Source organism: Homo sapiens, chromosome 9 (assembly GCF_000001405.40).
Source record: "Homo sapiens chromosome 9, GRCh38.p14 Primary Assembly".
In the NCBI taxonomy this organism is placed as follows: domain Eukaryota; kingdom Metazoa; phylum Chordata; class Mammalia; order Primates; family Hominidae; genus Homo; species Homo sapiens.
The window spans coordinates 39895494-39911153 of NC_000009.12; the positions used below are offsets into that span (position 1 = coordinate 39895494).

Here is a 15660-nt window from a genome sequence, read left to right on the forward strand (position 1 = left end):
GAAGAAAATAATAAAGGTTAATGAAGAAATAAACAACATTAAATGGAGAAAAATTATATAGCTAAGTAAATTAAACTAAATTTAGATCTTTGAAGGGATCAATAAAATTGTTAAATCTCTGGCCAGACTATGGAGAAAATAATAGGAAATAAATAATTTACAAATTTTAAGAATGACAGAAGTGGCTGGGGTTGGTGGCTCATGCCTGTGATCCCAGCACTTTGGGAGGCCGAGGCAGGCGGATCGTTTGAGGTCAGGAGTTCCAGACCAGCCTGGCCAACATAGTGAAGCCCTGTCTCTACTAAAAATACAAAAATTAGCTGAGCGTGATGGCGCATGCCTGTATTCCCAGCTACTCGGGAGGCTGAGGCACAAGAATTGCTTGAAGCTGGGAGGTGGAATTTGCAGTGAGTAGAGATGAGGCCACTGCACTCAAGCCCGGGCGACAGAACGGGACTCTGTCTCAAAACAAATAAACAACAAAAAAAGAATGATAGAAGTAACATTTCCATTGTCCTACAACAGTTTAAGGATAACTAAATGAATACCATGATGAAATTTATAAATGTAAATTAGTTAATTTAGATTAAGTGTATAAATCCCTCAAAAGATACAAACTAAGGCAAACTCAAAAAGAAAGCAATAAAATGCACATCCCTATATATCTGTTTTAAATTTATTAATACCCACCTAGATAAACGAACTGACAAATTTTACTAATATTTAAGGAGATATAATTTATACATTACACAAAAGTTTAAGAAATAAAAAAGAGGAAACACTTTTCTTTTTTTTTTTAATAAGAGGTTGCTTTGTACTTTTTTTTTTATTATACTTTAAGTTTTAGGGTACATGTGCACATTGTGCAGGTTAGTTACATATGTATACATGTGCCATGCTGGTGCGCTGCACCCACTAACTCGTCATCTAGAATTAGGTTTATCTCCCAATGCTATCCCTCCCCACTCCCCCCACCCCACAACAGTCCCCAGAGTGTGATATTCCCCTTCCTGTGTCCATGTGATCTCATTGTTCAATTCCCACCTATGAGTGAGAATATGCGGTGTTTGGTTTTTTGTTCTTGCGATAGTTTACTGAGAATGATGATTTCTAATTTCATCCATGTTCCTACAAAGGACATGAACTCATCATTTTTTATGGCTGCATAGTATTCCATGGTGTATATGTGTCACATTTTCTTAATCCAGTCTATCATTGTTGGACATTTGGGTTGGTTCCAAGTCTTTGCTATTGTGAATAATGCCGCAATAAACATACATGTGCATGTGTCTTTATAGCAGCATGATTTATAGTCCTTTGGGTATATACCCAGTAATGGGATGGCTGGGTCAAATGGCATTTCCAGTTCTAGATCCCTGAGGAATCGCCACACTGACTTCCACAATGGTTGAACTAGTTTACAGTCCCACCAACAGTGTAAAAGTGTTCCTATTTCTCCACATCCTCTCCAGCACCTGTTGTTTCCTGACTTTTTAATGATCGCCATTCTAACTGGTGTGAGATGGTATCTCATTGTGGTTTTGATTTGCATTTCTCTGATGGCCAGTGATGATGAGCATTTGGTACAAGGAGGAACTGGTACCATTCCTTCTGAAACTATTCCAATCAATAGAAAAAGAGGGAATCCTCCCTAACTCTTTTTATGAGGCCAGCATCATTCTGATACCAAAGCTGGGCAGAGACCCAACAAAAAAAGAGAATTTTAGACCAATATCCTTGATGAACATTGATGCAAAAATCCTCAATAAAATACTGGCAAAACGAATCCAGCAGCACATCAGAAAGCTTATTCACCATGATCAAGTGGGCTTCATCCCTGGGATGCAAGGCTGGTTCAATATACACAAAGCAATAAATGTAATCCAGCATATAAACAGAGCCAAAGACAAAAACCACATGATTATCTCAATAGATGCAGAAAAAGCCTTTGACAAAATTCAACAACCCTTCATGCTAAAAACTCTCAATAAATTAGGTATTGATGGGACGTATTTCAAAATAATAAGAGGAAACACTTTTCAACATGTTTTATGAGTCTACCGTTATCCCCATACCAAAACCATAAAACAGACATTACAAGAAAATGTCCTGTAGACAAATATGTATTTTGATGATGAATTTAGATTTCAAAAACTTCAGCAAAATATTATCCAATTAAATCCTCTCATGTCTGTGTGTGTGTGTGTGTGCATGCACGTGTGTTTGTAAAATATATCATTACTAATTGGCGTTTATCTTGGGAGTTCAAGATGGTTTCCATATTCAATCAACCCATCAATGTGGACTATGGTCACTTGAAAAGACCAGCAAATCCTCTGCACAAAAGGCCACTAGAAATTCATTAAAGCAGCCTTCCATCATTCTCGAAATTGACCAAAGCATTCAACTACCTGAGAAATATTTATGTTTGGAAAGCTATTGAAATGCAATTAAAAATATCAGGAAACCTGTTTTTACCTTTTGTCCTAATCTTGCTAAATCCTTCTTAATTTTAGGAGACACTGCTTCTCCTTCCACTGTTCTTTTACTTTCTCCTTCCCCTTTGTTTTTGCCTCCCCCTTCCTCTCCCTTTTCTACATTCCTTCTCTCTCCTAAATGCTGTATAAATTTCTACATATGTAATCATATTATTTACAAATAGGAACAGTTTTACTTATTTCTTTCCAGTCTGCATTTATTTTATTCTTCCTTTTTTTCCTTACACACTGGATAGAACTCTAAGTATTATGTTGAAAAAGAGTGATAAAAGCAAACATCTTTGCTTTATTCCTGAGCATACATGTGGAAAACATTCAGTGTTTCACAGCTAAATATGATGGATTTTTTGTATGCTCTTTATCAAGATGAAGGAATTTTCTGCTATTTCTGGTTTGCTGAATTTTTATCACAAGTAACTGTTGAATAGTGTCTTTTTCCCCTGCATTTATTGAACTGATCATGCATTCTCCTATTTTAGAATATTAATATGATGAACTATATTATTAGATTTTTTAAAATATTGCAACTGTCTTGCATTTCTGGAATAAACATGGCTTGGTCATGTGTCACTTTTTTACATAGTGTCGTATTCAAGTTGTCGAGGATTTTGCATCTAGGGTATATTTGTAGATTTGCATCTAGGTTATGTTGGTCTAAAGTTTTGTTTGTTTGTTTTCCTTTTCTTTTTTTTTATCATCTTTGTCTTCTTCTGTTTAAGTGTCATGCTTGCTTCATAAAATGAATTGAGAAGCATTTCTTCCTCTTCTGTTTCTCGAAAATTGTAGAGAACTCTTGTTTTTTGTTGTTGTTTGTTTGTTGTTTTGTTTTTTCTTATTTTTATCCTCATACTGAGAACCAAACAGTCTGGAGTGTAAAACATGGTTCCTCATTCCAGTTAAATCTAGTATACAATGACAACAACCCTCTTGGGTTAAGCATTGGCCTACAAACAGAAAAAAACCTTCAGGGAGATAGATGCTGATCTAGGCATTGTGAGAAAAGCTGAATTCATTTTTAATCATGAATGGCTTTTAAGGAAAGAAGATTTATTAACTAAAATAAATAGATTAGAGGGAATTCTCACCTATGAGAGAGGAAGGGATGGGATTCAACCTGGAAAAAGTAATGAAGTTTTAGTGAACTTGGTAAGGTAGACTCAACAATTAATGATGGATAATGCTAGGACCCAACACTGGTAATGAGTTTGTATTATGACTCAATAGCATCACTTTATCACTTTAACACAGATGGAGGCCTAAATAACCATAGGGTAATGGTTCTTCTTAGATGCAGAAGGACACATTTATATAATCTTAGGGACCCCATCTCTGAGGTCACTCATAATTTATATTAATTCATTGTTATTGCCATTGCCCCAAGAATAGATAAGGATAAGACATCCTGTAGTACAGGTAGCAGAGATATAAACTATTCTTATTCTTGTGTCTTGTCTATAGGAAGGGAGTGTATCCTGGTGTAAGACAGCATATAGTAGAGACCATTGTCAATTAGGGCCTGTGAACTAAGACAGGGTGACTGGCTAAGTCCACAACCCATTAGAAACCCAGAAATAATCAAATCATGGTGAGTAGTAATAACACTTATTTATAATACTATACGGTATAAAGACAAGAACCAATTATGTTGAGTAGCTGTAACAAATAGCTCTATCATTCGTAATAACTTTTTCTGTAATAAAACTGAATTGTAACATGATCATACTGCAATATGACATTACACTAGCATTGTTGGTAAGATTCAACTATCTTATGTAGAGAAGTTATATAATGCTTATATTGATAATCAAATGTATTAAGATATTGAGTTAAAGCCTCTTCAGAATGTAATCTGGGTGAATAATAAATGGCCTGAGAAAACAGAATTCAGCTAACCATTATCTAATTTCAATGCTAAATAGTTCTGCACAGATTTATCAAAAAGTAAAAATAAAAGCAGATTGAGAGGAGGAATGAATAATTTTGTTTGTACAAAATATTAAAGTGTATGTAATGGGCTTGTAGGATGCATTAGTAATTTTTAAAAATCAATCTTTACCCTACACTGTGTCCATAAAATGCTAGGCATATTCATGTTAATATTACTGTTGTTACTGTCATATAAATGCCATATTCAATGTAGATGCTCAGAAAAATATGATTGTTTTGCTACAGGAGAGATTAGACCAGGGACAATAAATATGGATTAGGCAAGAATGTGTTAACTCAGCAGCCCAGGGTTTTTTCAACCCTGCACATTCAAAGGTAAGGTTTGTTTTTAGGACTAGCTAGCCTCTGAGTTCTGGAAATAGTCTTACCGTGAAGAGTGTTTTTGTATATCTGAGGCCTTGGGTTTATGGTGAATGACTGACTTATATGCCTGAGGCCCTGAGCCATGCTGTATTTATTTGAACCATGTGGTATCAATTTAACCAGATACGTTTATTCTAAGATATGATTTATGCTGAATGCCTGGTTTTGTTCTAGAGGGATCATGGAAAGGAAGCTGAATTTGCCAAGTTTTGCCACTTGGGCATTGCATGCCTATGTGATTAACCACCAATAAAAACCTGGGACATCAAAGAATAAATAAGCTGCTCTAATTGCCAAGAATTCACATGTGGTTGTATGCAGCTTTACTGGGAGACTGAAGTGTATCTGCATGTGATTCTGCTGTGATGGACACTTGTAAGTTTGTGCCTGGAGTCTCCTGGACTTTGCCCTGAGAATCTTTTTCCTTTGTTGATACGACTCTGCATCCTTTTGTTTTAATAAACTGTAAACATGAGTATAATTGCTTCTCTGAGTTCTGAGAGTTTTTTAAATAAATAATCAAAGCTGAAGAGCAATGGAGACCCCCACCAAAACATCTTTACACATTTCAATTTTGTATTGAAGTAAATTTTATTTTCTTTTTTATACCTCCCATATATATTCTATTTTTCTCATTATTATTTATTTTATCCCAAATCTTTTATCTGTGATCATTTTCCTTTGTTTGAAATTTGTCTTTTGACGTTTCTTTGGAAGGTGCTTTTGGATGATAAATTTTCTGTTATTCTTTGTCTAAAATGTCATTATTTTGACTCATTTATAAAAGGAGTTTTTGTGTTTTATAAACCTCTAATGTATAGAAGTGTGTCTAAACTCATTGAGGATATTTTCCAAATTTTTTCCTACTTTTTATTGCTGTTGATAAGAAGTCAGTGTTGGTATTTTGACATTTAAGTTATGTGTCATTTTGTTGTGGTAGTTCTGAAGATCTTCCCTCTGTTTTATATTCTCCTTCACCTTTCATAAATGTACTTTATATTTATTTGGTAATAAATTTTGAACATATACTATGCTATAAAGATAATCTAGGCCCTTTGGTTACATCTTGTAAATAAAATCAACAAAATCTGTTTTGAGATTATATTGTAATATAAGATACCCAAAGTAACTAGGATGTGTACCATATGTTTGAAGGTGGTAAATACGATGAGAAAAATAGATCAGGTCAGGAAGAATGAAGATGATTGAAGGTACAGTTTATGATGAAAACTTAGGTGTGCCGAGGAATGATTCATCTTATGTATCTTGAGTGTAATGTCTTATTTCTCCTGAATCTGAGAATTTGATGTCTTTCATTAGGGATGTCAGTAAATCTCACTAATGAATATATTAGACTCCAGTTTAATATATGATAGTCATTTTCATTCTGTCTTTCATATCACTGAATCCTTTCTCTTTATTGTTCATTTTTATACATCTCTTAATAGTCAAAGTGAATTTAACTATGTTTTACGTTATGTGGTTATTCTCACTTTAGCTATCTCTAACATATTATGAATGTGTCAGTTGTGTGTTTACCGTTGTTTGAATTAAACTTTTAAATCATTCATTTTAATTCTTACTTAATTCAAACTTGTTTGTTATACATTCTTATAATTCCAGTATCTGGAGTCTTTCTTCATGTGATTCTTTTATCTCCCTGTTTTCCTCCTATATTCTTTTCATGCACCATCTTTCTCTGTGTGTTTTGTTTTGTTTTACTGTCAATTCCTAACTAATAGAAGTATATTTATGCAAATAATTTTAGGATAGAATTGAAATAGGTTTCCCAAAAGGATTATATAAATTTGTTTGTACCAAGGGCCCAGGGTTATAAACAGAATGAGATCACTTTAAATTTCTGTCTTGAGGATTTTCAAGTTACACAGGTCATATTAGTGAGAACCCCAGAAAAGGGCATTCTTTTTTTTTTTTTATATTTCACTTTACGTCCTGGAATACATGTGCAGAACGTACAGGTTTGTTACATAGGTATACATGTGCCATGGTTGTTTGCTGCACCTATCAACCCGTCATCTAGGTTTTAAGCCCCACATGCAGGTATTTGTCTTAATGCTCTCCCTCCCCTTGCCCTCCACCCCCAACAGGTCCCGGTGTGTAATGTTCCTCTCCCTGTGTCCATGTGCAGAACCTGCAGTTTTGTTACATAGGTATACATGTGCCATGGTGGTTTGCTTCACCCTTCAACTCGTCACCTACATTAGGTATTTCTCCTAATGTTATCCTTCCCCTAGGCCCCCGCCCCCTACAGCCCCTCCCTGATGATCCCCTCCCTGATGATCCCCTCCCTATGACCATGTGTTCTCATTGTTCAACTCCCACTTATGAAAACATGTGGTGTTTGGTTTTCCTGTGTTAGTCTGCTGAGAGGGATGGCTTCCAGCTTCATCCATGTCCCTGCAAAGGACACAAACTCATCCTTTTTTATGGCTGCATAGTATTCCATGGTGTATATGTGCCACATTTTCTTTATCCAGTCTATCATTGATGGACATTTGGGTTGGTTCCAAGTCTTTGCTATTGTAAATAGTGCTGCAATAAACATACGTGTGCCTGTGTCTTTAGAGTAGAATAATTTATAATCCTTTGAGTATATACCCAGTAATAAGATTGCTGGCTCAAATGGTATTTCTAGTTCTAGATCCTTGAGGAATCACCATACTGTCTTCCACAATGGTTGAACTAATTTACACTCCCACCAATAGTGTAAGAGTGTTCTCTTACTACACTTCCAATTTGGCTGGACTTTGAACTTTGTCTCTGGTCCCCTGCTTTTTACAGTCCCAAGAAACATGGCCTCATCCTTATCAAGACCAGAGAATGCTCTCAAGGTAAAACCTTAATTTTCATAAAATTATTGTCTTCTTGCCTGATCATTGTGACACTAAAGCAAGATTTTTTTAATGTTTCATCCAACTTTTAAGAATTATTTTAGTGGTAGGACTGAGCCAGGTTTCTAATCCACACTACTGCAGATAAAAAAATGACAAAAGGTAACTTTCAAAAATAGAGGCCGGGCGTGGTGGCTCACGCCTGTAATCCCAGCACTTTGGGAGGCCAAGGCGGGCAGATCACGAGGTCAGGAAATTGAGACTATCCTGGCTAACACGGTGAAACCCCGCCTCTACTAAAAATACAAAAAAAATTAGCCGGGCGTGGTGTCCGGTGCCTGTAGTCCCAGCTACTCGGGAGGCTGAGGCAGGAGAATGGTGTGAACCCACAAGGTGGAGCTTGCAGTGAGCCGAGATCGCGCCACAGGACTCCAGCCTGGGCGACAGAGAGACACTCCATCTCAAAAAAAAAAAAAAAAAAAAAAAAAGAAATTCATCTTTTTTCATGAAAGATTTATTATACATTCTAAATAAAATGGAGATAGAAAGTTAGCATTTGAACTTTAAAGTTGTTAGCATAAGGAGCAATGAAAACTAAATTTCTCCTGGGAGTTACTCATTTTTCTGGGTTGTAAATGAATGCCATATTATTTTTTGATGTTTAATGTAAAATATTATTGACTGTAATAATCCAATATGATCTAGGATATTCAGTCTTACACAACATAGGGATACAGTATAGGTTGATGTACATCCAAAATTATAACACACTTTGTTCAAACACAATGCATATTACATTTTCCTGTAGCTCAAATCTGTGTTATCTGTATTATTAAGAGATATAAGGAGAGGATTCAAAATAATAGCTGAAGAATTCTCATTAATTTTATGAATCTAGTAGATCAAAATGTTACTCTAACATTAATAATTTCATAATACAGACTGTGAGGCTTACATAAATCTGTTTCAAAAAATGTATAGCACTCTTTAGCTTTCATGTTGTAAGACATTCAGAATATAATCCAAAATAAAGTTGTAATAAATTATTGCATTTTAATGAGTATTTTAACATAAAATGTGAGTTTGGGATTATTATAAATCCAAAGACACATAAACTCAGTTTCTAAAAGATATGATTGAGGGGAAATCATGATTTATTATATCTTCATTTTATCAAAAAAAGACACAGTTATTATTTATAATAAAAATGATTACAATGCACACATACTCTTTTGTGAGTTGCCACAGAATTTTCTATTACCAAAACCTGTCAAGTTCAACACATGTCTAGAATATGTATAAATAAAGGTTGATCTGTGATATTAGATATTATCAAATAAAAAATACTCTTATTGAAAAAAATGTGATTCCTTATGACAACTTCAGGGCATCTTCTATTTGCCCCCTGTCATCAACAGGGGAAATTTTCTTTCCTACATTTCTCACTAATCATTTCTGACAAGTAGTTGGCAAGCTTAACTATAAAGGGTCATCCATAGGGTTCTAGGTCAACCTTACCCTTTGGGAAGAAAGTATACATGATGTCTATGAATAAATGCCCTCCAACAAAGGAAAAGGACAATGCTTTACATAGTGTGTGCATAATCATTTTTCAACATAATTAGCTTATTTGTGACATGATTTTACTGTCATTGCAGGTGTTTGACATGACCCACGCTTTTTCTTTGTGCCAAGAAATACAATGGTTTTGTATTACATTAATACTCTAGATCATCTATAATATGAGTCAGGTTTGGTTAAAAAATATATAAAAATAAAAATCTCAGTTCTATTTAAAATACTAATGAAAATATCCTACCAAAGTAAGACATTAGCAATGCATTATCTGTCACTTGATATTTTGTGTGTTTGCTCATTTCAACAAGGGAAAGAGAATTAGAAAATTGGAAGAAAAATATTTAAGTAATTCTTGTAAAATTAATATACATATTAAATATCATGAAGGGTAGAAACAGAGTTAACATTTAAAATGTTTATAACTAATGTGTAAATTTAATTGAAAGCCAACTGATTGCTCTGAAATTTTATGAGGAATAATCACAATTGTACAGAAAATAACTGACACCGAAAGTATCTACCTTTTCACATTTAAATGCAAGTGACTTTTTGTTCATTCATTCAAAAAATATGGATTATTATACTTTAGCTTAAATGTTTGTCTCCCCTCTAAAAGCCATTTTGAAACTTAATCCTCAATGCAATAGTATTAAGAAGTCAGGCCTTTAGGAGTAATTAGGCCATGACGACTCTGTACTCATAGATGGGATTAGTGCATTACAAAAGGGCTGAAGGGAACTAGCTAATGTAAGGACACAGCATTCAAGTTACCATTTTAGAAGCAGAAACTGGGACCTCACTTGGTGCCAAACCTGCCAGAACCATGGTTTTGAACTTTTCAGCCTCCTGGACTGTGAGAAACAAGTTTCTGTTCTTATCAGTCTCAGCTATTTTGTTACAGAAGCACAAGCGAACTGAGACCTGAGATGGGAGTGTTTATGTGCTAGGTATGGAGCTAATTTCTGAATAAATAAAGATGAATACATTCTATGACCTCATCATCTAGTGCCTGTTACAGTCATGCAGTGGATATTTTTTCTTGCCTTCTTATTACTCATTTTTGCTCTCCTCACTAAATATTGAGGAAAACATGAATGCATCATCAGTTTTTCCACTGATACAACTGTTTAAGAAGTACATATGACATTATATTTTTTCTTTCTGTATTCTGTAGACTTACCTGTAAAGTCTAAGGCTAACATTGACTTTATGCTAATTAGTACTGTGTTCATTTCAGATGTGTAATATGCCTTGTACAAATATAAATAGATAAAACATTAAAGGTGCTACTACTCAAAACACACAGGGAATAAAATATTCTATTTGAAACATCAACATAGAGTTTACACTGAGGGAAATTTTTATTCATTAGTTTAAATGGGGCAAAATACAATAAATATTATTTGGTTAAAATAGAGAAAGTTAAGTGGAAAGATGAAATGATGAAGAGCGCAGAGAAAATTGTTCAGTTTGCATACAAATTGGGAAATTAACACCTAACCTGCCTAGGTAGAATTTCATAGCGTTAACTAAAATAATTACTTAAACTTACAAGATTTATTAGAAAAATATGAATAGAAAAATAAAATGCATTGTTGCATTTTATGTAATTTTACTTGAACTTAGTTTATAACATGTACATAGATTAAGTTGATTTAAATATTTTATGTACAAAAAACTATATTGTTGAAGATTCTAAGAGCTTAAAACTAAAATACAAGATAAACATTTACTTTACAAAAATAGTAAATAAGATGAAGAATTTGAAAGAATTTAAGAATTAATTTCAGTTTCTTTTCCAAAATGTATGTGGTTAGCCTACAATGCTTTTACAATCTGTTATTTTATGAGTATGAATATTGATTTTATTATTACCTAAACATGTATTATTTTTAAAGTATGGCAAAAGAATTAAAGTTCTATAGTTTGACAAAGCTGTAAAGCAGATCAATCCTTTGACAGCTTAATGAATAAAGCATGCATGTAGTTGACACTAATTCATTTAATAAACATTTGTAGAACATATATGTGTAAGAAATTGTGCTAAGGAGATGAATGGCACATTAAAATAAGAAGACAAGTTTCCAGATACTAAGGAGTTTATGTAACTGTAAGGTACATAAAACAATACAAATGAAAAGGCTAAAATAAGTCAGAAAATGAAGGGAAGAAAACAAATATCCATATTAAGTATACATAATATCTCAAATATTCTTTAAGATGTCTTAAATAGATTTTAATATTTAATCCTAATGACAGGATAATCTGATTTATTACAGATGATATAACTGAGGCTAATACAAATCTGTTGACTTTAAATTTTCAAAGTCTTCCTGAATTATTTGACTGTATAATATTTTGGTAAACATAAATAAGTGGATACTAATGCATTGAAACAGAAACAGAATACTGTTCAAGAAATAGAAAAAAATGAAACAATAGAAAAGATTGAATTTGTAGTATGACTACAATTTAAGATTTAATAAAGACAAAAATAGAAACCAATATGTAGTTAGGAGGATAGAAAAAAGTACAGTGGACCCTCCATATCCATAGGTTCTGCATGTGTGGATTCAACCACCCATGGATCAAAAATATTTGGAAAAACATTTATGAAAAAGTGAACACATATGGAATTCTGCCTTGTCATTATCCCCTAAAGAACACACTATAACTACCTACATAACATTTACATTGTACTTGGTATCATAAGAAATCTAGAGATGATTTAAAGTATGTGACAGTGTGGATGTAGGTGTATAAAATACTATTATACATCATTTTATGGAAGGGTCTTGAGCATCTGTAGATTTTTGTGTCTGAGGGTTCCTAGAACCAGTACCCCACAAATACAGGGGAACAACTGTAATGAGTTCCTAGTAAACTAGGCTGAAGTATTATAACTGTACACAAAATAATTTAAGGCAGAATGATTAAATAATATATAGCAGTATGTATAAGAAGTGAAGATAATTGAAAATTAAATTCATAGGAAAGACATGACAAATATAATGAAATCAATGGAAAAGTTAAAACTTTAGCAAGATGTACAAGCAAGGATTGGGTAGATTTCATCTGAAAGATGTAATTTCTAATGACAAAGTACTTTAATAGTCTAGCCTAATATTTTATTGTACCTTAAAACTTCCCTCTGGCTCATTCTGGTCTTATCACACCAGCTTTCTTATGGCTTCTTTTATCTGCCAAGAATTATGCTCTGGTCTAATTGACCTCCCCAAATTTGTATATTAAAATTCTCACCACCAAGGTGATAATATTAAAAAATGGGCAATTTGGTAGGTGACTGGATCATGGGAGTGGAGCCCTTATGAAAGGTGCCAGAGAGACCCCTCCCTCTTCCACCATGTGAGGTTAGACTGAGAAATACATCTCTGTGGTTTATAAGCTTCTCAGTCTATGGCATTTTGTTATAGCAGCCCATGCTAATGAATACAGATGACCGTGTGTCTGCAGACCTTCCTAGGAAATTATTGAGTCCTTCATTGAATACTAAACTGTGAATACATGAGAGAAAATAACAGAAGCCTGGGGTAAAATGCCAACACAAAGGGTTTGAAGAACAATTCTCAAAGCTCAAGAAAGCTCTGCAAATATTATTGTTGCCACAAACCAAAGTAGAAGACAGGGTAATATATGAGCTATTAGGTAGAATCTTTGGAAGAATCCTGCTTTTGTGATGGAACTCACTCATTCCTAAACCTAAAGCAACTCTACATCTTCTCTAAGAAAATTTTATAGCAATCTCTAAAAGCATCAAACTGATTCCAAATAATTTAACTGTGTTTGAGAACAAAATACAAATATACAAAAGGAATTCAACAAAATCCATCACATAACAATATAGAATTCACAATATCTGGTTTTGATGAACATAATAATTAGTGTTGAAACATGTTAATTCAGTTGTTAAAAATATGCTTTATTTTTTCAAATAAGATGGGAAAATATGTATATTATGAGAAAATAAAAATGGAAGAAATAAAAACAAGCAGACTCCTAAAACAGAAAAAATAAGTATATTAGATTAAAAATGTATGAATAAATTTAACAGCACTTTAACCATTGTAGAAAAAATACCAGTGATTTTGATAACATAACAATATAAACTATCCAAAACAGAAAACATAGACACATTTGAAAAAACAACCACACTGTGTTGGACAATATCAAGCAGCATAATACAAGAAGAGATGGAGTCCCAGAAGAACACTGAGTGGATGTCTGTGTGTGAGTATGTGGTAGGGAAGAACAAAACCAAAAATACGAAGAAATGATTGCCAAAATGTTATTAGAATCACAAATAAAGACAAAATGGCAAGGTAAACTATTGTCTAATTTCTGAAAATCAGTGATAAAGAGAAAAATCTTAAAAGGCATCAGAGATGACAAAATAATCCACATCAAAAGAAATACACACACACACACACACACAAATACGGGCAATTTTCTTCAGAAACTATGAAAACTTGGAGACAATGGAGCAATCATAAATAATTAAATAATAAAAAACAGCTTTATCTACATTTTTATAACAAGTAGAAAATTTTAAGCACTAAAGTAAAATAGGGCTCGTTTATTTTTAGAAAATTAAAAATAGGTTTGGAACTAGGGTAAAGTAAATGACACAACTAGGTCCCAAAACCTAAAGAGCTACTCACTTTCAGAGTTATATATTTGAGATTGAGAGTGCAAGACTTGTGCCTTGTGTGACCCGAGAGAGTTCCTCATTAAGTTTTTCACCAGAGGTAATTTGCTCATCTCAACGTTGTCTCAGCACTGAGCAAAATCTAAAGAATTTCATTGTCAGCCACCCTCCATTGTCATTTATAAGAAAGAGTCCTAAGGCAGAAGTAAAATTTTATGAGAAGTATATGTGTGTCTGCAGAAAAAAACTGGCAATGTATTATACTGCATATCAAGTGATATACTGTTATTTGAAAGTAGGCTGTGATGAGTTAAGTATTTATATTTTAAAACTTAAAGTAGAAGTATTTATATTTTAAACCTTAAAACAGAAGTATTTATATTTTAAACCTTAAAGCAGAACCTAAAAAAAAGTACATTAGTAAACCAATAGTAGAAATAACATAAAATAATGAAGTACATATTTAACTAATCTACAAAATGTAAAAAAAGGATAAAAAATTGAACAAGGAGCATATAAGATAAATAGAAAACATAGCAAGAAGGTATATTTAAACCTAAGCTTATTCATAATCACATTACATTACATGTAAATCATTCATACACATCAATGAAAAATCAGAAATCTAATTCTGTCTACTAAAATTCTACTGTAAATATAAATACATAGATATCTGTGTGTGTAGTACAAACAAAAATTTATAGAAAACTAGAGTTACTATATTAATGTCAAACTAAATATATTTCAGAACGAAATATATGACCAGTGATAGAAAATATACTCACTGATTATAAAGGGGTCAATTTATTAAGATAACTAAACAATATTAACACAAAGAAACTATACAAGTTAAGGTGATGAATATCAGAATCCTGATTTGATAATTGTATGTCATATGCTTGTATGCATATGTATCCCATACATATGTGCAACTATTATGTATCCATAATAATTAAAAATTTTTTAGAAATAAAGAATTAGATAAATGTAATAGTGCCATGTGTTTATGTTAGAAAAGAAAAAAGAATCTAATCAGTTCCTAAAGCAAATTAAACCCAAACAAAACAGAATGCTGTTGTCTGAATGTTTGTGTCTCCTCGAATTTCCTATGTAGAAATCCTAACTCCCAAACTTATGTTATTAGGAGATGGGGTCTTTTGGGAGGGGCTTAGGTCATGAAAGTAGAGATCTGGGGCTCTTTTATAAGGGTACTAAATTAGTACTACATTAAGGATAGTAAATGAGTAGTTTTCTTACATAAGAGACCCCAGAGAGCTACCTTGCTCTTTCCATTATGTGAAGATGCAGAGAGAAGGAACCATCTATGAACCAGGAAATGGGCCCTCATCAGACATCAAATCTTTGAGAGCCTTGATTTCAGACCTCTCAGCCTCCAGATCTATGAGAAGTAAATTTATAAGTTATAAGTTTATATTATTATAAATTATAAAATTATGTTGTTTATAAGCCACAACAAAAAGGTATTTTTCTATTGCAGTCAAAATGTACTAAGGTACAAAGAAATAATAAAATACATATAAGAACAAAAATCAATAAAAATTGAAAGAACACCAAAATGGAATATCAATAAAATAAAAAGCTCATTTATTAAAAAATGAAAAAATTCTAGCTATACTCAACAAAAAAGAGAAAAAATACTAAATACTAAAGCCAGTAATGAAAGACTGTCACTAATTATACTACAGGTTATAAAATGATAGTAAGCACACAATGTTTAAACTTTATGCAAATACAT

General features: G+C 33.0%; 1 long non-coding RNA gene across 6 annotated transcripts in view; it reads left to right on the plus strand.

The window, feature by feature from the left end:
- The first annotated feature begins 92 nt into the window (after positions 1–92).
- LOC105376050 (uncharacterized) overlaps positions 93–15660 on the plus strand; it is a 108520-nt gene continuing 92952 nt past the window's right edge. For 5 of the 6 annotated variants that reach the window (XR_929617.4, XR_929618.4, XR_001746434.2 and 2 more), the window contains exon 1: positions 93–5183. This is a non-coding gene — a long non-coding RNA (uncharacterized LOC105376050). The remainder of the gene's footprint in view (positions 5184–15660) is intronic. The other variant, XR_001746435.2, reaches the window with a different exon arrangement.